Source organism: Homo sapiens, chromosome X, assembly GCF_000001405.40.
Source record: "Homo sapiens chromosome X, GRCh38.p14 Primary Assembly".
Taxonomy (NCBI): domain Eukaryota; kingdom Metazoa; phylum Chordata; class Mammalia; order Primates; family Hominidae; genus Homo; species Homo sapiens.
The window spans coordinates 31,473,496-31,501,060 of NC_000023.11; the positions used below are offsets into that span (position 1 = coordinate 31,473,496).

General features: G+C 37.4%; 1 protein-coding gene across 21 annotated transcripts in view; it reads right to left on the reverse strand.

The window, feature by feature from the left end:
* Positions 1-27,565, reverse strand: part of DMD (dystrophin) — a 2,220,167-nt gene that overhangs the window by 354,274 nt on the left and 1,838,328 nt on the right. For all 21 annotated transcript variants that reach the window (XM_006724469.4, NM_000109.4, XM_011545467.2 and 18 more), the window contains 3 exon segments: positions 23,293-23,449; positions 5,488-5,608; positions 4,611-4,879 (listed from right to left, as the gene is read on the reverse strand). In XM_006724469.4, coding sequence (XP_006724532.1) covers positions 4,611-4,879; positions 5,488-5,608; positions 23,293-23,449 — 547 coding nt within the window.

Consider the following 27,565-nt stretch of genomic DNA (forward strand, 5'->3'; position numbering starts at 1 on the left):
CGGATCACGAGATCAAGAGATCAAGACCATCCTGGCCAACATGGTGAAACCCCGTCTCTACTAAAATTACAAAAATCAGCTGGGCGTGGTGGTGCGCGCCTGTAGTCCCAGCTACTCAGGAGGCTGAGGCAGGAGAATTGCTTGAACCCAGGAGGTTCAGCGAGCCGAGATCTCACCACTGCACTCCAGCCTGGTGACAGAGTGAGACTCTGTCTCAAAAAAAAAAAAAAAAAGAAAACAACAATCCACAAACCTTTTCACCTTGGGATTGTCCTGAAGAACAAAAATCTTGTATCCAGACTACAGGTTTAAAAGTTATTCTACTTTATTAAAGCCTTTATATATTCCACTTACAGATCTATGTGGAACACCTAGTAATTCAAAAAGTTATTCCTATTCCCCATTACAAGGAAGGTAGAATATTTGTCTAGTCAAATAAGCACTGGTGCTATTTTCAGTAAAGTGAAAAGTCATGATCTTGCCCTTAAAATATTTGATAAGCAGTATAAATCATGAATTTTAAAAGTAAAGAAGCATTTAAAACTTAAATTTGATTCTACTGTTTTTTCCTATGGAAGCTATGTTTGGAAGGCTGAGATTCTCTTAGTGAGCAATATAGTCAATATTAATATTGTGTTTCCATTTATTAATTTACCATGTTCACCACCCGCAGATGATCAGCTAGCAATAATGCCATTTCCATAAAGGCCAGGGACTTAGTCATTGTTGTTTCACCCATTCTTTAAATCCAAAAGCCACATTTGCTAATACAATTACAGAATGCTAAATCTCACAGAAACACATATTACTTAGTTTCTTGAATAACAAGTTATTTAACACATAAGATCAGAATGGAGGGGGGGTACTATGATAGAGTGTCTAGGGGTAAGGAAAATGAACTGATATGGATATATAAAATGTTCTTCTAGCTAGCTGCCTAGTTATCAGTGCTGTAATCCACTTTGGGAGGCCAAGGTGAGTGGATCACCTGAGGTCAGAAGTTCGAGACTAGCCTGGCCAACATGGTGAAACCCCATCTCTACTAAAAAATACAAAAAAAAAAAAATAGCTGGGCATGGTGGTGGGCGCCTGTAGTCCCAGCTATTTGGGAGGCTGAGGCGGAGAACTGCTTGAGCCCAGGAGGTGGAGGTTGCAGTGAGCCGAGATAGCACCACTGCACTCCAGCCTGGGTGACAGAGCGAGACTGTCGCAAAAAAAAAATAAAATAAAATAAAATAAAATAAAATAAAATAAAATAAAAAAAGAGAAACCATGGTTTATTAGAAAAGTTCCCTACAGCATGAATCCTCTGAGGGCTTAAATTGCTGAGTGGAAAAATGGGAAGAGTGGTTTCAAGTACACTTCTACTTTTTTTCTGAAATAAATTTTAGTTAATAAAACTCATTCTTTGTAAACTACTACCCCCAAAGCTTCAGAGTTTCAAACCCAGTGTCAATAAGATGCAGTGGAGAAAAATGATTTATTTCCACTGCAAAATTAAAGAAGAGCTACCGAAGGGAGATAAATATATATGAATTCATGTAATTCATAGTTTGAAACACGCATAAAATACAACACAGATTCAAAAGCCCAATCACATCTACTATTACCAGTACATAAAAATTCAGATAAGTACCATAACTTAAGTGTATATATGTCTGAGAAAGATAGATGTGCTGGGTTATAAATATAATTTTTCGAAAGGTATGTTTAATGTTTATATGTTTTGCTATCATTGGGATCAGAATGAGAGTTTTACCAATCAGGGTATGGAAAATGAAGTTTGTCTTAAGACCAAGAACAGATAAGACAGGGAAACTAAAAGGAATACCGCAAATAGGGTTGGGTGAAGGCCAGCTGATACTTGAACTGTTATGCTTTTAGTTATTTTTAATTATTAAATTATGCTGTACACATTCTCTTCTCCATCCATACTCAGTATCTTACAAATGCACCTGTGTGACAAGTATGGCTAAAAATGAATCCCTTATGTCTGCTCTACAGCCTATCTATTGAGCAATTTAATTGACATATTAACTAATTTAGTTCCACTGGGACATTTTCCTAACTTATTTCTCATTTTTGGAGAAGTCTGTCAAAAAATTAGTCCCTATATTTTTGAATAAAATCAACATATTTAATGCTTTTAAAATACTAGGTAATACATTTCAAAACCCTTAGTTTTCCAGTACACAGCAAGGTTAACCCTTACTTTAAATGTTAGACATGGGGTCATAAAACATTGGGGTAGAAGGGATTTTACAAGTATTAGAGTCAAATTTTTAATCTTTTCTTTTTAAAAATTTTACCTACTATTTTAATGAAGAGCTATGCAATTCAACATTAGACCATAGGCTTCATGAAGGCAATGATCAAGTCTGTTTCTTTTATAACTACCTGTCCAGCACATTATATAATGACTCATAAACAGTTGTTGAGTGAATAAATGAAGGTACCTAATGAGATTCCTCATATGTTGCTGGCCCTGGGCTAGCAGCCCAAAGATGTACAGCATGATCCTTGCTCTTAGCAACTTCACTTTCTCTGGGAGAAAAAAAAATGCATAAGCAAGTTGCTACAATATATGTGAAATTTAAGTGTGACAATTTAGCATGCTTGGTGATCTATGAGAGTACCAACTGTAAGCAGTTTCTTCTGCTTGGTGGGAGTTGGGGGTTGTAGACACTCAGGAAAGACAACAAAGATAGGTAACATTTTGGCTGGTCCTTGAGGGCTGAAGGAGAATTCGCCAAGTAGACAACGTAGGGGGATCCAGACAGAGAGAACAGCATTTGCAAAGGCAGATATATCTATATCTATATCTATGTGTATATATATGTGTATATCTATGTATATATGTATATATACTATGTATATATCTAACTATGTATGTGTGTGTGTGTATATATATATATATATATATATACACACACACACACACATACTTTACAGACACACACATTCAATACACTCTGCCCATATCACCCCTTTTTCCCAAATATGCCATCACATATATATATATATCATATGGGCAGAGTGTATTAAATGGTCTGGAGAATAGGAGCTATGGCTGAGAAGGTAAGTCAAGGCTAGGAAGAAAAGGGCCACGTAATCTCCTTATTCATTGGATTTCATTCTCTAGGCAAGTATTCTCCCGCAAGGAGTTTGGATTGGAATTGGAAGAAGCTGGGTAATGCAGGAACATCAGCAAAGAAACCATTCATCCATCCATTAATTCACCAAATGTTTAAAATGCAGTATCTGAGATATGCCAGGCACACAGAGGGGTGAATGGGATTTAAAGATGTATACTGTTATCATCTAAGTAAAAGATGCTGGGGATTAAAAAGGACATTGGTTAAAAGAGGAGAGAAAACACAAAAGAGCTATTCTGAGGTAACATGAGCCATCATGTGCCATCAGTGAAAATGCAGAAGGGTTTAAGGATGAACCTAAAGTTTCTAGCCTGGAAAATTTGTTGGATGATGATTCATTAACTGAAATAGGAAACAGGAAAAAAAAGGTCAGATAAGAGGGGACAGAAGTAGGGAAATGGAAAACAGGAGAACAAATGAACTTGGTTTCAGAATAGTTGCATTTGTGATCGTAATGCCACATGGATTCAGAGATCAGAAGAGAGATGCGGACTAGAGATGTAGATACATCACCATCCAGGCCATCTCAAACAGGGAGGGTTTAAACAATCAAAAGAGAATTAGGCTAAGGTTAGAAACTTGGGCACAACAGTATTTGAGGGGTGGCTAGGAGAAGAATCTAGAAAAATATAGGAAGAAGAACATGGATGGAACAGTTCCATGAAAGCCAAGGAAGAGGACAACTTCTAGAATGAGGATGCTGAGATGCTGGCAAACATGCTGAGTGCATGAGGGAATTTAACTTCTTTTGAATTTTAATCTAGGAGGATTTTTGTGATTTTGACAATAGATGAGTAGTTGCTGATTTCAAAATGATACTCCTAAATATGTATTTTTTTCTACAGAATATATTTGCCATCTTTGTGCCACAAGGGAATTTAACTTTGGTCTTATAGACAGTGGTCTTCCAAATATATAATGATTTTCCCTCATTTCTGCAGTGGGCCAATGAAACTTGAAACTGTATTACAAATGTTGCCTTCCAAGGGAAGGGCAACACATTAACAGCCTTATTTCACCAAACCATAACTTACCCAAGTCATGTAATTTGGTTAGCAAAAGGGCCAACACCTAGACTCCTGGCTTTTGATTAAGTGTTTTATTTTTCTGTATTCTGATACTAAGTAACACAAGCAATACACCAATACACACACACACACACACACACACACACACACACATCAGACTTTAGTACAATCACTTAATATCAAAGTCAAAGTGATTTCTTGCCCTGTAACTGTTTTAATATTTCATTTCATATAACTGAAGACAGACAAATAATTAGATCACTGTCTTCTCTTGGAGAAAATACCATGTGAATGAAGACTGAATTTGTGAAAGACGGACTGATTTCTCTAGCTTTAACTTTGTGGGAAGATAACACTGCACTCAAGTTCAGATTAGAAGCTCTTTTGAGTCTCTCAAAGGGCCCTGAAGCAAAGAAGTAGACGGTACCTTGACTTTCTCGAGGTGATCTTGGAGAGAGTCAATGAGGAGATCGCCCACGGGCTGCCAGGATCCCTTGATCACCTCAGCTTGGCGCAGCTTGAGGTCCAGCTCATCCGTGGCCTCTTGAAGTTCCCGGAGTCTTTCAAGGGTCTCATCTATTTTTCTCTGCCAGTCAGCGGAGTGCAGGTTCAATTTTTCCCACTCAGTATTGACCTCCTCAGCCTGCTTTCGTAGAAGCCGAGTGACATTCTGGGCTCTCTCCTCAGGAGGCAGCTCTAAATTGGCAATATGACAAGGTTTTAGGCCACATTCTTTTTTTTTAAACATTGTCAAAAAGGTCATACTGGAAGAAAGAAAGAGTACAGTTGAACAAGAGGGTAACCTACTGATTAACGGCTTTTTTATACTTTGGCATAAATTTTGATACAGCCCAGAACATCTAAAGTATATCTTCCTGAGTTTCTACCTTATATCAATCCGACAATTTAAGATTCACTTAAGCTATTGAGGAGAAAAACGTTAGGATGCATACCACAAGCTCTAATTTACTTCAGGCAGGCTCTTAAATGGAAAATTAACTTGTAGTCTTTGCAACAATAGAATTCCTCCTCACAGATAACTCCCTTTGTTTATTATTTTCTAAATGTTCCAATAACTGATTGCTAATCTCTTTTGATGTTTATTTATGAATGCACAAACTGATTTATGCATGGTAGTTTATGAGTCCTTATTTTTTTTTCAGCATCTATGTTTAATTTGAATTGATTCTATTTAACCAAGAAAATATGAGAGCTATCCAGACCCTGGCAGCAAGAATGGATGGGCTGCTCCGTCACCACTGATCCTTCTATCAATATGTTATTATAGTTCCACATTCAATTACCTCTGGGCTCCTGGTAGAGTTTCTCTAGTCCTTCCAAAGGCTGCTCTGTCAGAAATATTCGTACAGTCTCAAGAGTACTCATGATTACAGGTTCTTTAGTTTTCAATTCCCTCTTGAAGGCCTGTGAAATGAGATGAAAAGAAGTGCTTATTTGGCTTGTGGCATTCTTCTCAAAATTAATCCTGGGTGCTCAGAACTTGTTTATGAAACTCCCAGGTCAATTTCTATCTCTTTTATTTATACACTGATGGTTATAAAATGATTTTTTTTAAAGGCTATATGGGTCTATCTGTTAATGAGGAAAGCGCTGTGTTTGTAAAGCTATTCTGGGGAGATGGGGGGAGCATTCTGGATAGTTAATGCCCTCTCATTGAGATAAGAGTGCTTTGTTTATGTAACCTGACAGCCATACTTCAAATCTACAGCTAAAGTTTCAAGGTATATATTGCAAAACTCTAGCATGGCTAATGAGGACTTAAACATACCCCAAATAGTGGATATCCAGAACATAATGGGAAGCCTTAAGGGCCATTTGCAGGACCTTAGGCTATATTAAAGTATACAATGAATCCAACTGACAATCACCAGTTAATTCTGTCAAAATGTCTGACAAGGTATAAAATAGGTAAGCTAAGAGAAAAGTCTCAATACTTTTGAAAAATAGTCATTACATCATCCATTGTGACCTCTTTGAGAATAGTAGAAATGTTTTGAGCTATTATGGATGTAGGAATTGCGGACACTAGTTTCTATAAATGAACAGATCTAGAATTAATCTTTAATCTGTAATCTTCCTTTATCCAGGGGATCAAGAGAAAAACAAAATGAATAGTTTCTGCCTTCAAAAAGTTTCTAGATCCAAAGAAGGGAGAAAATTAACACTAGAAGCAGAGTGAAAACAGTAAGTTCACACATAATCGAGTGCTAAAAGGATCGTGAGGTATACCGTGAGCCTAGAATAACCTAACGGATACTCTGACACCATTGAAGAGAGTTATTGACCCAGATTCTTTGATCTCAGAAGTGAGGGTATTAATAAAAGTATTAAGTGCATGCTACATAAATGCTAATATAACTGTTTAACAATAACAGTAATATTTGCCCTGATCTAGGGCTTAATTTTTGTAACTTTTTTCAACTCTGTCTTTTAGCAATGTTGCCTGCTGAATTTAAGCCCTGTTCTTTCACTGGGGAAAAACAAATTAGCAGTATTCTTCCTTGAATTTCAGATATGCCATTATGTTACAGAAGTGTTCCAGAGCTGTATTGTATGACACATTTATTAATAAAATCTTAGCGGTGTTCACCATTCAAAAGAATCCTGAGTCTGATACTTTGCAAAATGATTCATCATCCACAGCTATTTACAATTCAATAGAGAAAGGGAAGGCGTTTGAACCAAAATACTGGAGTTCTGTAAGTAGAATATTAGGATTCAGCCTACAGATAGGGAAGTACTTTCTGAATAATGGGATATTTCTGTACCCTAAAATCATGCTAGATACGTGAGTTATTTACTCTGCTTACATATAAAGCTGATTCTCCTGATATTTCACTTGAAATCTCCATGTTTGTGTGTGTGTGTGTGTGTGTGTGTGTGTGTGTGTGTGTGTGTTCAGTTGTTGTATTCTTGTGTTTTTTTTCATACAATTAAGTTTCCCAAATTCAAGTAAATTATCATTTTGCCTAGTTTCTCTGTTTGGACCTGAAGGGAGGCAATTAATACTGACATTACTAATTATAAAAATAATAATGGCTCCCTCTATTGAACTACCATGTGTCAGTGGTTGTACCTGAAACTGGAAATACAAAGTTGAATGCAAAACAGCCCTTTCTATTTAGGAATATTTAACATATAATAGAAGAGTCAGACACGTAAATAATTTCAATACAATGTAGACAGTGCTATAGACTTGCGCAATATGGGGAAGAAAATCGGGAAAAGCTTCCAGGAGAAGCTAGTAATCACATAGAATTCAAAAGCATGAACATGACTTATTCAAGGAAGAGTATGCTAGAGAACATTCCAAGAAGAGGAAAATGCAAGTGCAGAGTCATAGGACATAGTGCAGTATGGTATGTATCGGAATCTCAAGCAGGCCAGTGTTTCTAGAGCATAAAGAACAAGGAGAGGGCATGTCCAAAGATGAAAAAGACACTATTGCTATCTGGAAATACATTAGATTTTTAAACCAGAATTTGAAGCTCTGCCTCTCTATGATCACATATGGTCCACTAAGAGGCTTAGGTGTTGCCTTGAAGGTAATCAGGAACCTTTGAACGGTTTTAACCAAGGGAGTGGCACAGGAATATGTGTGCTTCAAATAGATCTTCCTGATATAAATACAGAGTATGTATTTGAGAAGAACAGAAATGGAATCAGAGAGATAATGAGGCAATTGTAAGAATTCAGTGCAAGATTATGAGGATTTGACTCAGGGCAATGGTACCAGGAAAAATGACAGGGATAGGATAGGGAAATGTCTAAAAATCTGAAGTGTGAAAATTTGGTGACTGAATAGATGCTGGAGAGAAGAGAGAAAAAGAAACAAGAATGACACTTAGTGTCTAGGTTGAGTAGATGAGCAAACGCTGGGTGCAATTCAACTAAGTATGAGGAAATAAACTTTCCTGGATGTCTCAGTTCACCTACAGAAAGCTCTAGCCTCCTGAGAAACTTCCCACACCATGGAGATTAGATCTGTAGCAATTTGTCTAGTTCATTTCTCTGATCCAAGAGGGTCAAACGGTTATAGCTCAGGGTAGGTTCCTAAGCTGAACTCTATGTTGTTAGAAAGACTGGAGTGGGTATCTTTCTAGGTATTTACATTTCAAAAAATATGAAGCCCATACCTTGGAGACATTTCCAGATTGTAAAACATGAGACACACAGGGCTAGCTGGTTTCTGCAGAAGCTGGAATTAGGACTCAGGCCTGTTATGTTTCCACAGAGAACCTTTCAGAATGAGAGATGGATAGCAGCCTCCTTCTCCTTTATAAGCAGAAAAAATGATTTTTCCTAGTCTCCCACTTATGGAGTACCCAGCCACTCAAGTAGGAAAATGTTTCATCAGCGTTCATCATGTTGCCCTAGGGGTAAGTCTTTGGGCAAAGGAAGGGCACAGCAACAATATTTACTGTAAGGTAATTAAATGAAATCTGCCTCTGATTCAGAACCCCTCATGCTCATTCAGGATAAAATTATTGAAGAGTAATATTAAAAATGCAACATGATGGTGTGTGTGTGTGTGTGTGGGGGGGGTGTTCTGTGCATGGGGGACAGAGTAAGGGACTGTGATATGCTCAGCTTGGAAAGCTAACATTCCTTCCACAAGGAAATAATAAATTCTGAGGTTTGAGGAGAAAAAAAATACTTAGGAGTTATTTTCTCATTCAGCTAATATACGTTGAGTGCCTACATATCAAAGTTTAATGGGCAAACAGAGGAACAGGATCTCTTGAGAGATAGAAAAGGAACAAATAGGTGGAGAGATTAGGGGAAATGAGGAGTGTAGAAATTTCAAGGAGAGAGTGAGAATTTTGAGAGGAAGAGGGTGACCAAGTGAGTCCAATGAAACACAGAAGTAAAGTAAGATCAGCATTGCAGAGTGTTCACTAGATGTGCTGAGAGCAATTTCAGTGGAGGGCAGAAGCCTCAGAAGTAGGCATAGCTGAGGAGTGAGTGGAAGAAGGAGTAGGTATTTCAAGTGAAAATCAAATGTTCAATTTTCTTTTTCTGAGAAGGAAAAGAGGAAGACACGACAGGAGGACAGAGAGGATAACAAGACAAAGGGATAAGAAGTTCTTTTTAGCATAGGAATGATTTGAACCTAGAGTGAAAGACGGAAGCTAGCAGTAGGGTAACCAACCATCTTGGTTTGTCCAGCATTGAGTTTTTCAGGATGAGAGACTTTCGATGTTAAAACCAGAATAGTTTCAGGAAAATTGGACAGTCTCAGGAAAACGAGGAAAGTTGGTCACCCTAGATATATGTTACGACCTTGACAGAAGGTGGAGATAATTGTTGGAACAAGGTCTGTAAAATAAGGAAATGGATCTTTTTTTTTTTTTTTTTTTTTTTTGAGATGGAGTCTCGCTCTGTCGCCCAGGCTGGAGTGCAGTGGCGCAATCTCGGCTCACTGCAAGCTCCACCTCCCAGGTTCATGCCATTCTCCTGCCTCAGCCTCCCGAGTAGCTGGGACTACAGGCGCCCGCCACCACGCCCAGCTAATTTTTTGTATTTTTAGTAGAGACGGGGTTTCACCGTGTTAGCCAGGATGGTCTCCATCTCCCAACCTCGTGATCTGCCCGCCTTGGCCTCCCAAAGTGCTGGGATTACAGGCGTGAGCCACCACGCCCGGCCGGAAATGGATCTTAAAGGTCTCATCAAACTTAAAAACTTAAGGCACTAAAAACTTAAAAAGTCCAAGGCACTATTTGATGATATAATTCCATTGTTAAAACTGGACAGTAAATAATTCAAAGCTAAGGAGCATCCATTGTGAGAGACCACGTGTTTGCCCATCGAGTTGTTGCCAAGGACTTAGATCCACCACAGCTGCACAGTTCATTTCTTAAATATGAGTCATTGAAGATTAAAATGAGGCCAAAGAAAAGACAAAGAAAGTTCTGTTATTACAAAGACATAAGCACCATTATTTTCACATTGTTGCCTGAAATTAAGAAAAGAAAGTGGATGGAAGAGAGGGTTAAGTGATTGTATCTTTAGAATTTCAAAAGATTCAGATTAAATACAAAAGGATAAAACTCCCACAAAAAGAGAGAAATAGTTGGTTCAAGGAGGTCAGAGGTTAAAGAAAATGGCAATAATTCTTATCATGTGGGAAAAACTATAAATAACAATATGTAATTTTAAACATGGTTATATGTAAGATCCTCTTTAATTTAGTCACTTAACAAACTTCAAGCAACTACTATGTATCAGACACTGTTCTAGGCAATGAACATCTGTGGTCTTTGTAGCATGGAGCTTAAAACAAATGGCTTTATGTAGTAAAAAAAAAGCAATGTAGAATCTGCATTAAAATAATGGAAAGCCAATTTTTCAGTATCTAATAACTCACCATAAACTGCATGTTGTAGTATAATTTATTGCATTTTAAAAGAAAGAAAAATGAAGACTTTTTTTTAAAAAAAGACAAACAAGAATATTTAATGTCAAGAGCCTTGATTTTGATAAGTGTCTTGTCTCCCAAAAAGGCCTGTTTGAAAGAGGTTTGAGAAAATATATACTCATATATACTGATTTTGTCATATAAATTTTGGTTAATATTTTAAACCAGAGAAGTCAGTTCCTTTATGTGATGATAGAAAAGGTATCAGATATAGATATTTTCTCCCATGTACATACAGAATACGTATTTACAATATTCAGATGTTAGCATTCAGATGTTAAGATAATTACTTCCTGAATCCCTTGAACAGATAAAATTATCTTTGTTAAAACACATCCTCTTCCCCATACCTTTCTTTTCACCTTTCCAAGACAGCCAGACCCAAGGGTCCAAAATAGTGATATGAGAGAATTAGAAGCAATACTAAAGACGTAGAGCACCTCTATGAAAATAAAATATGCAATTTAGAAAATGTTAGGAATACTACACAGATGTTTGTCCTTGAGCTTCTTAAGGTTCACAAAATAAACTTATATGAAGTATGCTACTACACTATTATAGCAATGATAATCTCAAGATAAATCTATTTATTATGAAGGTTGAATTATCTGGTAGATTGCACTTAAAACACCATAGGTACTGGCCAACCGGGTGACTGATTGTTGACTCACTAATTTGTTCATTCAAAAAATATTTATTTTGAACCTATTAGGTACAAAGTTAGGAAAGATATAGAGACTTAATCTTTGTCATTAAGGAGCCAATAGTTTGGTTGAGTAGGTATATTTGTGGTGTATACTTTTATATTATGAATGTTTCATCCATGCAAATTGAGATACAGATAAGTTAGGGTTTACCTAAGGCCATCAGTTAATTACACACTTTGAATCTAAATCTTGCAATTCTAAAGTGAAGCTGAAAGTGAGTGATAACAAAACATAAAATCTCCCTGACTTAGAATAATTTGGAAGCCACATAAGTGGAAAATCCTAATGGCCATGGAAGAAATCAGAAACTTAAAAAATTCCTGAAAGTAATAGAGAAGAACCAAGTTATTGATTATTATTATTTTTATTTATTTATTTATTTATTTTTGAGACGGAGTCTCGCTCTGTCACCCAGTCTGGAGTGCAGTGGCACGATCTCGGCTTACTGCAACCTCTGCCTCCTGGGTTCAAGTGATTCTCCTGCCTCAGCCTCCTGAGTAGATGGGACTACAGGCACGCGCCACCACACCCTGCTAATTTTTTGTATTTTTAGTAGAGACGGGGTTTCACTATGTTGGGCAAGCTGGTCTCAAACTCCTGACCTCAGGTGATCCGTTTGCCTCGGCCTCGCAAAGTGCTGGGATTACAAGTGTGAGCCACCACACCTGGCCACTGATTATTTTTTTCTGTCCCTCTTGCTTCCTGCTTATATTATAAAAATATCTAAATAATGCCATAAATAGAAGTAGCTCAGAACCACGTATGGAGGGGATGAAAGGTGAGATATTGATTTGCTTCATGAGAGGAACAAGAGGAGAACTCTGGGCATAGGTAATGACATGACAGGGAGAAAAGCTATCTTGCTTTCTCCTGGGGACAGTGGATTTAGGATCATATTACTATGGATGTGAGTAAAAGCCCGTGCTTTTCAAAACACAGATGTCTTTCAATCATGTACAGCTTGCCTGGCGCTGAATTTTACCTGTATTCATATTGAAATGGTAAATTTGTGTTTTTCAGAATAAAATCTGATGGAATGACTAGAAATACTACCCATATTTGTAAGCAGAACTTCCTAGAATCATCCTGGGAGGCAGGCTGAAGTGGTGAAAAGAGCACTGTTCTGAGTGGCAGAAGCCTTGGGCTTCAAGCCTGGGCTGGGCCAGAACCTGGCTGCAGTGATCCAGAAAAGGTGATAAACTCTTCCTGCTCCTCTGTGTCCTCATTTGTAAAATGTGGGCATTTGCTAAAACCTTATCTAAGTTCTAACATCCAGTTCTCATATACTATAATCAATTTGTTAAGATCATTAATCGGCCACAGGCCTGCTCTATGGTGGCAGTTTGAGAGTCTCTGCTAAGCATCGTTATTATCGATGCTTAAAAACCATAGCCATAGCTTGGCATATAGTAAATGCTCAGTAAACATTGTTGACTAAGATACAGAACACCCAGTTAGAACACTAGAGTGTGTTATATGAAGGCCAAGTTGATTTAGATGCAAAACAGGCTTGCAGGGGAAAGCCTGGACTCATGAATCATAAGTGAAAAAATTAATGCTGTAAATTGGGAAAAATGGACAGATCTTATTCTAGGTCTACTCATGTTCCAGATCCAAAGCTGAGTGTCACTGCTGAGTTACTGGGTGGAATTTCCTCAAGAAGTGGTCCCATTAGCATTGCCTTCTTCAACCTAGTGATTTCTTAAAGGAGATTTTCATGTCCAAACACTCAGAAGTTCCATGGTTTGAACTGCTGCTTGGGGCTTTTTCTGTAGTCTGCAGGATTAGGTAGGAGATGAGAGGACACTAGACAGGCTCTGAAATGTAGGATGATCCAACAGTTCTGTTCATTCAACAAATGGATACCGAGCAGGCATAGAACAAGATGTTAACAGTCATATCTGTAACTTGATCTGTATTTACTAGTTTTGCCATCCTACGTCATCATTCTTGTTCCTGTGTTATTTCTACCTTATTTTTTATGTCTCCTGTATTGTTTCTATGTCTGACAAGAAAGTTGCTGAATATATTCTGTCACCAAAAGGACCTTCTTTATTTAAAGAGCCACCATATTTATTGAGTCTCAAACACATAAGAATATTTTACCAAATGCTCACTTCGGGACAAGCAATGCTCAGTTAACTTAAAAGCGAGGTCTTGGAAAAGGGCAAGCAATCCAGGATGTACATGGCAGGGTGGCAAGAATATTGCCCCCAGTAATCTAAAGCAAATTCATAGGGGTTCATGGAAGAAAAAAATTTGAAGAAAGAGGCAATGGAGCAAACAACAGAAAGAGAGGTTTCCCTTAATAGTCATTTGAGACAGCTAGTATTACAGAAGTTATGAACATGGGTATCTGGGCTATAAAGAAAAGGCCATAATCATCTTTTCTTATTGAGATAAGAACACTTAATATGAACTTTACCCTGTTAACACATTTTTTTTTTTTTTTGAGACGGAGTCTCGCTCTGTCACTCAGGCTGGAGTGCAGTGGTGCGCGATCTCGGCTCACTGCAAGCTCCGTCTCCCAGGTTCACGCCATTCTCCTGCCTCAGCCTCCCGAGTAGCTGGGACTACAGGTGCCTGCTACCATGCCCGGCTAATTTTTTCTTTTTTTGTATTTTTAGTAGAGATGGGGTTTCACCGTGTTAGCCAGGATGGTCTTGATCTCCGGACCTCGGTTAACACATTTTTAAGTGCACAAATCGGTATTGTTAACTATAGGCACAATGTTATGCAGCAGACCTCTAGAACTTTTTCATCTTGCATAACTGAAACTTTATATCCATTGAGCAACAACTCGCCCTTACAATGTATGGCAACCATTTTTCTACTCTCTGCTTCTATGAGTTTGACTAAATAATCATCTAAATAAGATGACAAAAAGCTCCGCCTTATTTTCACTCCACTTCTGAATAAAAGTGAAGATAAGGGATTGAAGTATCAGATACATCCATTCATTGTTTCAGATAGTCAACAACATGAACAACAATATTAATTTATAAATGAGATTGAATAAATTTGATGTAAAATTGAAAAGTAAATGAACATATTTCAGGCCTGAAATTATGTTTTTTTTTTAAAAATCTAATTATAGTCAATGAAAAAACATTTTTGAGTGTATAAGGGGAAAATGTGTTTAACAAACTCTGTGTTGAGATTTATTTTTCTGGAAGTCTTTGAAAACAAAGATTGTATTCTCTGAGATCAAGGGCACGGGCTAGAATAGTCCAGCCTGCTTGCAGGTCTGTGATACTATGGAGGAATAGTTTACTGCGCACACAGCATCTTGAACAGCTGTTTGACTCTTAATTCTAAGGCTGGGCTGCTTCCAACAATCACTGGGGAAGTTACTTCCTACTGACAATAATGTTGTTAAGTTCTGAGCTGACCTTGAGAGATCACTGGTGAAAACTCAATCTAGTTCCCGTGGCCATTTAGGGAATTAGGTCTTAGGTCATTAAGCCTAAACTTTAAGATTTGGAAATTACTTCTGAAATGTTAGTAGAAATGAATGGATTATTAGAAAACCCTGTGACAAATTAATTTGTGTATGTTCTCAAGATACTGAGCCAAAATTTGAGATTGTCAAGTATAAGTGGTAAATAATATCTGAATCATACCCTTTGTGTCTGTCTATCAACATAATCCAAAAATGGAACCCTGGTTCATTCTAAGCACATACACTCAAACGTGATCATTCCCAAGTCTTTCTCAGATGGCAACATCATTATTTTATTTGTTCAAGCCATTGACCTCAGAATTTTCCTTGACTCTTTGCTTCCTCTCAAACTCCACATTCTATCTATCTTAAGTTCTATCAATTCTACCCTCCAAATATATCTTCGATCAAATAATTATTCACCATACCTATCATTTCCACTCTAGTCCAAGTAATCATTTCCTTCTGAGATGACTCCACCACCCTCCTTTTCTGTGTCTTCAGTTTCGCTCTTTTTATAGTCAATTCTCCATAGCAGCAAGAGTCAACTTCTAAACACATAAATCAGATCACATCATCCCTGCTGAGAGCCTTCCAGTGATGTTTCCTTACTTCCAGTGATGTCTCTTTACTCACAGAATAAAATCCACCTCCAAACTATGGCCTGCAAGACCATTCATTATCTGGCCTTTCCCTCTTTCTAGAACCTATCACTGTCTACTGATCTTATTTCCCTTGAGATACACAGCTCATCTTGCTATTTCTACAACACTCAAAACCTGTTCTTACCATTGGGCTTTTGAATTTGGTGCTTCTTCTGCCTAGAATCCTCTTCATTCAAGGTTTTTGCATGGTTTACTCACTCACACAGGTTTTGTTTGTTTGTTTTTTTGAGACAGGGTCTCACTCTGCCACCCAGGCTAGAGTGCAGTGGCACAATCTTGGTTCACTTCAACCTCCGCCTCCCAAGTTCAAGCGATTCTGGTACCTCAGCCTCCTGGGTAGCTGGGACTACAGGCACGTGTCACCACGCCCAGCTAGTTTTTGGTAGAAACGTAGTTTCACTATGTTGGCCAGGCTGGTTTCGAACTCTTGACGTCCAGGGATCTGCCTGTTTCAGCCACCCAAAGTGCTGGGATTACAGGCATGAGCCACTGCACCCGGCCTCACACAAGTCTTTACCCCAAAATAACCTCCTCACATAGGCCAGTACTCCTCAATCTTTCTCTATTCATGCTTTGTTTATTTTCTCTTCATAGCACTTACTACCCAACATAATTTCATATATTAATTTATGGGTTTACTATGTATTTCTGTCACTAAAATCTAAACATCCATAGGGGCAGAGACTCATTTTGTTCCCTAACATATGCTTAACATAGAGTAGGCTCTTCATAAAAAAAGTTCTTGAAAGAACCAATAAATTCTAGGAATCTGAGTTATGGTATAATTTTTCCTAAAATAATGTTTTTGGGGGACAAAAGGAAGAGCACAGAAAAAAATCAAGGGGATCATTTGTAATTAAATGAATAATGTGTGTAAAAGTGCTTTGTCAAGGCAAAACACTATGCAGATACTGTTTTAAAGAGTATTTGTCAGGACATCAAAATATTTTGACAAAGTGAGAGAGAAGACTGGTAGAGAAGTCAGTTTGTAAATTATTCACATCTCATCTTGTTACAGTCATTAAAGCAAAGCAGCAATTCCTAGATGACTCAGTTCTTCAGTTTTGATGATAAAGCTAGTTTTCAGAAGACTTAGACTTAGTTTTCAGAAGACTCAAATGCCTAGAAATGCAGTTCTAAAAATAATTTTTAAGTCATTTCTATTCAGCATCCCTAAATATGACTGCATAGGATATCAAACTTATACAAAAATGATGAAGAATAGATCAAAAAGACGTCTATTTCCTCCAACGCGGCTAAAAAGACACCTTAGAGTAGATATAACTAACAGTCAAGTGGTTTAGAAACTCTAAGAGGCCAGGTCATTGAATGTTAGAATGAATCACTCTGGCCGGGCGCGGTGGCTCACGCCTGTAATCCCAGCACTTTGGGAGGCTGAGGCGGGTGGATCACGAGGTCAGGAGATCGAGACCATCCTGGCTAACACGGTGAAACCCCGTCTCTACTAAAAATACAAAACATTAGCCAGGTGTGGTGGTGGGTGCCTGTAGTCCCAGCTGAGGCAGGAGAAGGAGAATGGCGTGAACCCAGGAGGTGGAGCTTGCGGTGAGCCGAGATCGCACCGCTGCACTCCAGCCTGGGCTGCAGGCGAGACTCCATCTCAAAAAAAAATTAAAGAAAAAATAAATAAAAAGAAAAGAAAAAAGAATGAATCACTCTATCGCAACTTTTGGTTGTTTTTCAGAGGTGATAGGGAACAACGCATTTTTCTTAACACAGAGCTGACTTAAATCTTAACATTCACAAATGACATCCAAAGATATTTTCTCTTTCTGTAAAAAGAAAACACAGAAAACTCGTCAAGCTAACATACATACTAAAATGTATCCCACGTAAGCAGGCCAGCACTGATAACAGAATGAGCCTAAATAAATGTATAATCTACAACATGATTTCAGGATAATTTTATTGAATTTCTCAGCCTGTCTCTCACTTTGTGGTGACTTCTGAAGAAATCGAACATGCATAATATATGACCTGACAAATGAACAAGTAAACTACTTTATTCAAGCCTTTTCATTTGTCAACAGCATCCAAGCAATAATGGCTTTCTGTCCACTCTTTTAATAATGTATGTATTGATTACTTCCATCTAAATCTTAACCAGAAAATCTCGGGAAGCTTTGAAGGTATCCTTAATGATCTCTAGGGAAGGGATTATAGAGATTTTTTTAATTGAAAGATGAAAACCTAGTGACAAACAATTTCATTAGTAAAAAGGCAAACAAAAAGTCATTACCTACACTGTTGTTACAATCAAGATCTAATCTCCATTTGGATTTGGGGTAGGAGGAAGGGAGTTGAATAAGCTGATGTTTTATTGCAGTTCTCCTTAGAAATTCCCCACTATGATTTGCTCCTTTAAAACTCTCTCTAGGTTAATCACAGAAGTAGACAAGTAATAAATATCACTTTAGTGACTGCTCAAGTAAAACAAAGGAAGTCAGTTTTTAAAATATATCTGGACCAGAATAACACCCACTAATTGAAAACGAGTCAGTCTAGTGAGGCAAGTAATGAGGAACTGTAAAAGCCAGGATAATGTATTCAAAAGACATAAAAATTGGTCAGTTTATATTTGCTAAGGCATATTTGAGCTTTAATTATTTATAACACTTCACCGCATCTGGAGCATTATTTTATTAATTAGTCTTGAGAGCCATTCAGTTGCAGTTGTTATGCTGCCCAGCTGGTTTGGGGAGCACAGATCTACTCCCATGGGTGTGAAAATTGCTTTGAGGAGTGAGACTATGGTCCCCAAATATGTCTGTGGAGTATCTTGGAATTTTACCTACAGAAGAACCATATATCTCTCCATGACAGCAATTGATATTGACTGTATATTTTCTCTACAAGAAAAGAGTACAAGATATGTAATATTTTGCTACAAAATATTATCACTAATCTGAAATGGTATACAAAGAAAAACACAAATTACCTGTTTTGTAAACATCCTGATTTATAGAAAATGAAAGTGAAAATGAACAACATTTGATTTTAGTTTCAACTATTGACATTTTAATGGGATTTGTATCCCCATAAAAAGCATCAGCAAAGGATATTAATAATTTAGAATAGAGAGTAAGCAGATGACTTTTTAAAAAAGTGGCACTCTAAATACTTGCGGAATAAGTTTACAATTACAGTGACCCATCTTGATACCAAGGATTCTATACAAACAACAATTAAATCAAGAAACCCATAAAGAGCAATACAATGTACAATTCTGGAAACATGGCAAAGTAAAACAAAAGTCCACAAATATAAGATCTGTCAACTATTAGATCTTGATGGAATTTTGTACTGATTCTGTTCTTTTTCTCTTTTTCTAACTGAGTTCAGGAGATCTGATACGCAGATCCAGTTTCAAGGATTTTCCATTGTTCTTTTGCCCATAGGCTTCAAGAGCATCACTAACTAGACAGTCCATATATGAAAGGGCTACCACATACATGTGACAAAACTTTGAGTCAAACAGGCTACTAAACTGTTCTCTCATCAGCACTCAGGAGCGATGATGTTGTTTGAGGAAGGAGAGTGTTTTGTGTCAAGAATTTTTCTTAAAGATACCAAGAGAAGCTTGAAAAAGCATTGCGCCAAACTACAAGTAAAAGCTGTATGTCGTATGTTTATTGAAGCACCATTCACAATAGCAAAGGCGTGGAACCAACCCAAATGCCCATCAATGATATACTGGATTAAGAAAATGTGGCACATGTACACCATGGAATACTGTGAAGCCATAAAAAAGGATGAGATCATGTCCTTTGCAGGGACATGGATGAAGCTGGAAACCATCATTCTCAGCAAACTAACAGAGGAACCGAAAACCAAACACTGCATGGTCTCACTCATAAGTGGGAGATAAACAATGAAAACATATGGACACAGGGAGGGGAACATCACACACTGGGGCCTGTCAGGGGGTGGGGGGCTAGGGGAGGGATAGCATTAGGAGAAATACCTAATGTAGATGACGGGTTGATGGGTGTGGCAAACCACCATGGCACATGTATACCTATGTAACAAACCTGCACTTTCTGCACATGTATCCCAGAATGTAAAGTATAATAATAAAAAAAAACCTGTGCATCAAAGTAGCTCTACACACTTTACAAAAAGATGCTTAATTAGAAATAAACAGAAAACTCCTGTAAATAAGAAGGGAATACCACTCTATTCTTTCTTTCCCTGCTCTTGGTCTCAATAGCCTTCCTTTATCTAACCAGTGTCTACTGTATACTAGGCACTTTGGAATGTGCTGAGTAGAAAAATGACAGCTTTCCCCCTCCCAAAAATCTTCTTGAAGGACATGGTTTAGCAAGAGTAGTCGATATTTATCAAATAGTAACACATGTACGTGATGACAAACAACGCTATGTTATAGAAAAGTAGACAATTTTAGAAGTGTGTAAAGAAAGATCTGGTCAAATGTAGACAACAGGGAAAAGTTTGCACAATGTCCGAGCCAAGATGTAAAGGATTATTAGATGATAACCAGGATATTATGAGTGGGTGGGTATAGGTAAAAGGGTTTGAGACAGAGGACCAACATATTTAAAGCCCCACATAAGAGGGACACGCAGAATTGGAAAAAGTAAATGGAGGCAGTATGGCTGGCATCCAAACAGCAAGGGAAGAGCATCTAGGAAAGAGGAGGCTGAGGCCAGACAAGCCAGATAGTGCCTTGTCACCCTTGTTGAGGATTTTGGTCTTTTTCCAAGAGCACTGAGAAGACTACTATAGTGTTAAGATAAGGACTGATATAATTGGATTTATGTTTTTTACACAGATTATTCTGACTGAAATGTAGAGATTGCATTGTAGGGTGGCAAGAGTAGATGCAGAAAGGTTAGGAGAAATGGTCTTCTATAATTATGATGATAACAATAGTAGACAGTCAAAAACAATTTTGAAGGTAAATTGGCCAGGTGCGGTGGCTCACGCCTGTAATCCCAGCACTTTGGGAGGCCAAGACAGGCAGATCACGAGGTCAAGAGATCGAGACCATCTGGCCAACACGGTGAAACCCTGTCTCTACTAAAAATACAAACATTAGGTGGGCATGGTGGCGCGTGCCTGTAGTCCCAGCTACTCGGGAGGCTGAGGCGGGAGAATTGCTTGAACCAGGAGGCGGAGGTTGCAGTGAGCCAAGATTGTGCCATTGCAACTCCAGCCTGGTGACAGAGCAAGACCCAGTCTCAAAAAAAAAAAAAAAAAAAAATTGACCCAGTGATGTCTTGGTAGTGGAAGGCTGAAGGCTGGTCATCCGGAAAAGGTACTGTACCAGACAACTACATTGTTGTCTGGTATGAGAAAATATTTAGTTAGAGTCTCGGAATATTTAGCTAGAGTTTTGGAGTTTTGTAGATTGCAGCAACAAAAAGATAAAGAAGCAAAGGGTTTCAGACTTTTGAAAACAAGTTATTAAAATTTAGATGATTGAATCTAAGTTGTATTTGGAAGGAGGTAAATATGGAAGGGCAGAGGAACTAATGTATAAAACACAGAGTAATCAATGGGCTGGAAGTCCTGTGAAATTCACGAAAGGTTAACAGGTAGCTATCTGAGCAAGCACACTAACCAAGTGGGGACGGATTAACTTCATTCTGGTGAGTATCACTCATAACTCTAGCATCACCATCTCCCCAAGTCATGTTCTTTGTCATGAGATTCCTGAGTAAGGACTGCGTTAAGTACAGACATTTTACCACTCTTAACAAGCAACCAAAACTAATAACCAGGAATAGTGAAGCAGTATTTATAACAAAATACTGGCTGGAAGAAACCACAGCAATTATTTGGACCAATTTCCTCATATTACAGTTGAAGAACAAAATAGCAATCAGAATCCATCTTATGAAGAAATATGACTAGAATCTCAGTCTCCTGACTCCTAGTGCACATGTCCAGTGATTCATTTTCTTTGGTTTCTGGAACTAGCATAAAATTCATCTTTTGTAGAAATTCTGTCTCATTTCACTATATCGCATAATGCATTTTTTAAAAAAGGCCCATCCTTCTCAATGAGTGCTTTTCTATATGTACACCAGAGTGTTTTGGCTGTTTATTCAAAGTCAGAACATTTAAAACACATAGCACCATTACATTTCACCCTACCACAAAAGCTAATTTAATATTCAGAAATATATGAAGGCAAATGGCTAAAGGAGAAACTGGCAGTTTCCCTGGCATTTTTTTTTTTTTTTGCAAAGATCCCTGGGTCTTCTTTCATGTTCTCTTCCCTTTTTATAATTTCCTATATCCTCTTCTCCAGAATAATATAAACCCTTGACCTTTCCTCAAGATGCCACCTTTGGCTGTATCTCCACAGAGATCTTTCCTTTACATGCTCAACATACAAAAGTGGTACCATTTTATCAAGTTTTTATTATTTGGTAGTAATTTGTTTGGTTTGCTATTCATTTCTGTTCTTGTATCTTTTATTCTCATTTCCAAAACACTTATCAGTATCCACTCTACACCAGACACTTTACTAGACTCTAGGGTCTTGGAGGTGAACAAGACAAAATCTCTGCCTTTTTCACTCAGAGCTTAGTAGAGAAGATAGAAATGTAAATAAAAATAAAACAAACAAACAAAGAAATAATTGGTCATCGTTGGAGGATGCTAGTGAACAAGTTGTTATTATAAAAATTGGTAAAATTGAAACGTATTTTGCTTGTTCGGTATGAAAGGTATACTGAGTACCAAAATAGGAGACAAGTGCAAAACATTTTTTTCATAGACCTACCCCAGTGAATAAATGAAGAAGGAATGGTAGAGATAGGCAATTATCACACTGCAACCCCTAGCCACTGATCGTGAACAGCTATTAAACATCACACAAAAAGAGAAAACAAGGCATTATATACCACCTCCTGATGATGGAAGAATACACGAACACCTGTGAAGCAGTCTTGCCAAAAAAAGCCAAACCCAAATACAATCAAACTATAGAACTGCACTGTTCAATCGGTAGCTACTGGCAACATCTGGCTACTGAGTACTTGGAATGTAATGAGCCTGAATTGAGATGTGCTGTAAATGTACATTTTTTCTATTGATTGCATGTTGAAATGACAATAAGAATTGTACTACAGTTGCATGACATATAATGATGAAAAGAAACAGGGTGAAAGATACAGGGAAACTATTCTATTTTAGAAACTTACTGTGAATCTGTAATTACTTCCAAACAAAAAGTAATAAAAAGACCAACTAACCAAAGTAAGGTGTGGGTCTGATTTCAATTTTTATTTAAACCAAAACCAGAAAAAGTTTAAAAAATGCATAATATGTATGAGAAAAATGGAAATTTGAATATGGACTGGATATTTGATATGATGAAATTATTGATATTTCAAAAGCATTATAGTAGCAAGGTGATTACCTTAAAAGAGTGAATCCTATCTTTTAACCTTTTGAAATATTAACAATAAAATAACACACGCCTGATATTTGTTTTAAAACAATCTGGGAAGAGCTATAGAATAAATAAGATCTGACGTGATTTGATAATTGTTGATGTCTTGATGAGTACGAGTTTTATTATAGCATTCTGTCTACTTTTGTATATGTTCAATATTTTTCATCATGAAAAGCTTTTTTTTATATAGCCAAAAGAGATGGACGATTTCTTAAAGGGTATTATTAACACAAATGTGTTTGACATTTACAGTGTAATGGCTTAGATTATTTATAATTGACCCTTGGGTGAGAAGAGTAAAAAAGATTTCTATTCAACTTAATTTCAAACAAAATTAATTTTAAAATAGTCACTGGATTACTATGTGCTTAACATGTGCAAGGCACGAGGCTTAAAAATGTCCTACCCTATGTACATCGTTCTGCTTCTGAACTGCTGGAAAGTCGCCTCCAATAGGTGCCTGCCGGCTTAATTCATCATCTTTCAGCTGTAGCCACACCAGAAGTTCCTGCAGAGAAAGGTGCAGACGCTTCCACTGGTCAGAACTGGCTTCCAAATGGGACCTGAAAAAGAACAGCAGCGTACCATGTCAGAATATCTAGAAGTGTAATTGATGATTCTAACAATTCCATTGAAAAAGTACAATAAACCTATTGTGAACTACAAAGCAGTCTTGAATAAAAATCTGGCTACTTACTTTTGAGAGCCACAAAACAGAGGATAGTTTGATGGCAATTTTGAGAAAAGGCAGTGTTTAGCCATATGTTTATTTCCACATGCAGAATGCTGAGACTTTTGGCATGAAATACACACTGGAATCTATTGCTTTTCCATACTGTTGTAGTCAACAATTCTTAATATTTCTGGTAGAAAAAATTGGATGCAGTGACTAATGAAAAACACTTCGTTTTCATGTGACTCATGCTAGTACTGGAATTCTTTTTGCCTTGAGAAATGGAAAGGTCTCTCCCCACATTTTGACTTTTCCATTTCTACACCCTAGGCAGCCTTTTCCATTGAGTTCTTCCATCTGGCGTCTGTTCCTTTCTGCTCCTCTTCCCAAATGCGTCTCCTTTCCCCCTACCCTTCTTTATTTGTGTGCACCTGGGATTTGTCTTCACCAAGTTTCAACATTTTCTGCTTTGTTTCCTTTGTGTAAAAAGTACTAAGACAACAACTCACATGGAAGAGTAAAATCAGACATTTATCTGAAAGCTTCCCCCGAACATGAATAATTTAGGCAGGAGACTGAGTGCTTTACCGTCAACTGTATTTAGAACACGTTAATCCTTAGAAGCCATTTAAGAATACACAAATGAATGATCTGTGCTATAAAATCCACATTTCACTTGAAGATGAGAAGCTAAATTAATAAAATAAATCATCATCCAGAAAACAAAGAGGAAACGCAGTGTTAGCAAAGCTTTATCTTCAGGTAAATTAGAAATTATGCTCAATCACTCAGCTATTATCAGCAATTACTAATTAATTCATAATAACGCTACCTATAACATAAATATAATAAAGACTTTAACGCTGCAAAGATTGAAATGTAAAGCAAAGCAACCAGGTGGAGCAACATTTCCCTTAGCCATTTGGTAACTTAGCTTGACATTACAAATACAATTCTCCTTTTGGCCTTAGTCAAACAGAATCACCAAAGAATACTTATCTACTGAAATTAAATTGTTCCAAACTTTCTGAAGGATAATTTGACAATACATAAAAGTCTTTAAAATGTGCAAAGACAATGACCCACAGGCTTAAATTCAAGGAAATTATACTAACAAAGAAATTGGAAAAAGATACAAAGATATAGGTGGAAAAATGTTATATATAGCATCATTTATGATTGATAAAACAAAACAGAAACAACTTAAATATTCAATATGAGGGAATTGCTTGAGAAATGCAAAACCCCAACCTACTGATTGTTTTCAAATGTAATGAAACTTGTATATGCTTTAAATTTAGAAATTAATGAAATTTATATATGAATTTAATTAAATAGCTCTTAATTTAAAAGGGAATTATTACATATATAATGGTGCATTCATACAGTAAAATCCTTTGCAAGGTTCAATATGATGACATAGCCAAATATTTATGGATATGGAAAAGGTCATCATCCCAGTTACTAAATGAGAAAACAGGTTACAAAACAAATACATTTTTTGAATTTTTCTAAAACATTTGTGTATGTGTATGTATTTGTATGCACATGCTTGACTAGGAAAAAATTTTGTAATGACAACCAGGTTATCCCTCAGAGGTAGATTTACAGGTGATTTATTTCTTAATCTTTCTACTTTTCCAAATTGTCAAGATTTTCTTTCTATAATTGCAGTATAAACAATATGTCCAGGAAAAATGAAGGCATTTCCATCAAATAAGATAAATTAAATTGTTCCAGACTCTAAGGGTATTATTTCCCAAGAACTGAATCGTGAAATACCATAAATGTCATGAATTGAATATAATAGTGCATGCAGATTGCATACAATTAGAGGTCAGTTCTTTTATGTTTCTGTACCATCCTTTCAGTTACCACTTTTCCATGATAAGCCTAAGCGACAATTCCCCATGCAAGATTTTAGCTGTTTAATAGCATGTAATGTGTAATGGTTAAACGAATTCCTTGGGGTGTCTGGAATTCACAGCTTGGTCCCTTTGAGAGTGAAAAGAGGCTGTCAAGCAGGACATATTGAAAAGTAGGTGGAGAGAGGTAGGGCTCAGACATGGAAAAGCAGCAAATGGTAGAAAAGACACTGATTAAATAAATATTTATTGACTGCCCCTAAGTCTCTAGGATACATTGGGGAGTAGGGAGAGAGGAAGGGAAGAGAGAATATAACGATGACTAATGTTTGGCCTCTGTCTGCCTGGTAGAGGAAACAAAATATCCTTGTGGCAGAGAGGTCTAGAGGAGGATATAGTGAAGGGCAGGCTGCCTATGTTAAGACCTCAAGCTGCGGCTTTGTTTATGTAAGGAAGTGCTAAAATTCCAGTTCTAGGTTAAATGGTGCTGACTCATTATTAGTGGGTCAATGAACCCCTTTAGGTCCCCTAAGAGAGAGCAAAATAACTGAGACCTAGGGAATTCAGTTCTTTTTTTTTTTTTTTTTTGGTGAGACAGAGTCTTGATCTATCACCCAGGCTGGAGTGCAATGGCACGATCTTGGCTCACTGCACCTCCACCTCCCGGGTTCAAGCAATTCTCCTGCATCAGCCTCCCAAGTGGCTGGGATTACAGGCGCCCACCACCACACCCAGCTAATTTTTGGTATTTTTAGTAGAGATGGGGTTTCGCCATGCTGGCCAGGCTGGTCTTGAACTCTTGACCTCAGGTGATCCACCTGCCTCAGCCTCCCAAAGTGTTGGGAGTAGAGGCGTAAGCTACCACACCCAGCCGGGAATTCAGTTCTAAAGGATCTAAGAGAAACTTAATAGCATGAAATAGGGAAGTTGTTAGAAGCCAGGGACAGAGGACAGTCAAGAGAGCTAATACAGCAGCAGAAGACGGACCTGGAACCTCAAAAGACGAAAAGCTCTCACATATCTGGGTAAGGGGACTTCCTTTAATTTTTTTCTAAGCTGTGGAGTTAGATAAAATTTCAGAATGTTTGATCATCCTAACTACATATCAAATTGCTTCATTTTTTTCCTCTCCTAAAGCTCAAGAGTGAAAGGAAAAATGTGATAGGAGGACAAAAACTGAAGCGAAAAACTTACAAAGGACAGAGAACACTGAGTAAGAACTGAAGAGGTGAAAGGCAGCCAGAGAATGAATTAAAACAGCATATACAAATGTATTCAACCTAAAGCTCTGGGTCTCAAACTATAGTGTGTATAAGAAACATTTGAGTAGCTTGTTTAAAATTGAGATTGCTAGGTGCCACCTCCAGACTTTCTATAATTCTATCAACAATCTCTGCTTTCAACAAGAACCTTCACAATTCCACAGGTAAGCTCCAGAACCATTCTTTGATAAAGCATTTATTAAAGCATTTCTGATATGCCCCAAACATTACTTCTTGGTCTCCACAGGGCAAAGGTGGCATTTGTCAGTGACTTGATTTTGAAGATCTAAATGTAAGGAACATTGTGAGCTCAAAACATTTTCTTTGACCATGTTAAGCCCGTGAAATGTTTTCAAGTCACATTTCTAATACATTTATCGGAAGCAGTTGCCCTATTTTTATTTTCATGAGTGTATATACCAGATATTTTGAAATGATTAACCTATGTTTGCATGTGGAATATCTCCTCCTGAAAATGTTTCTTTGTATTTGTAATGACTTTTTTTTCTGGTTATATCATACATAGGCTGTTGGGGTTGGAAGGAACCTGAGAGATTATAGTTCAACCTTCTTGTTTTGCATATGTAGAAATCAAGATTGCAAAGGTATAAAACAGCTGCTGAAAAACATAACTTGAGCTGTCCTATTTAGATATGGGAAATAGAAATTACAAACCTTTGTTAGATGAGAAAATCCTTAAACCTTAGTGGTTTTAACCAAATGTTTTTGATCTCTGAACAAAAAGGCTTGTTGCTGTTAAATTAAATTAAATTGGGCCTAAAGCTGACTCTGTACATAGCAAACTGCAACCCAGCTTGGCATGTAAGCAATATGCAACTTAAGAGTACATTCTTGTAACAAATAGCTGAGCCTCAGCCA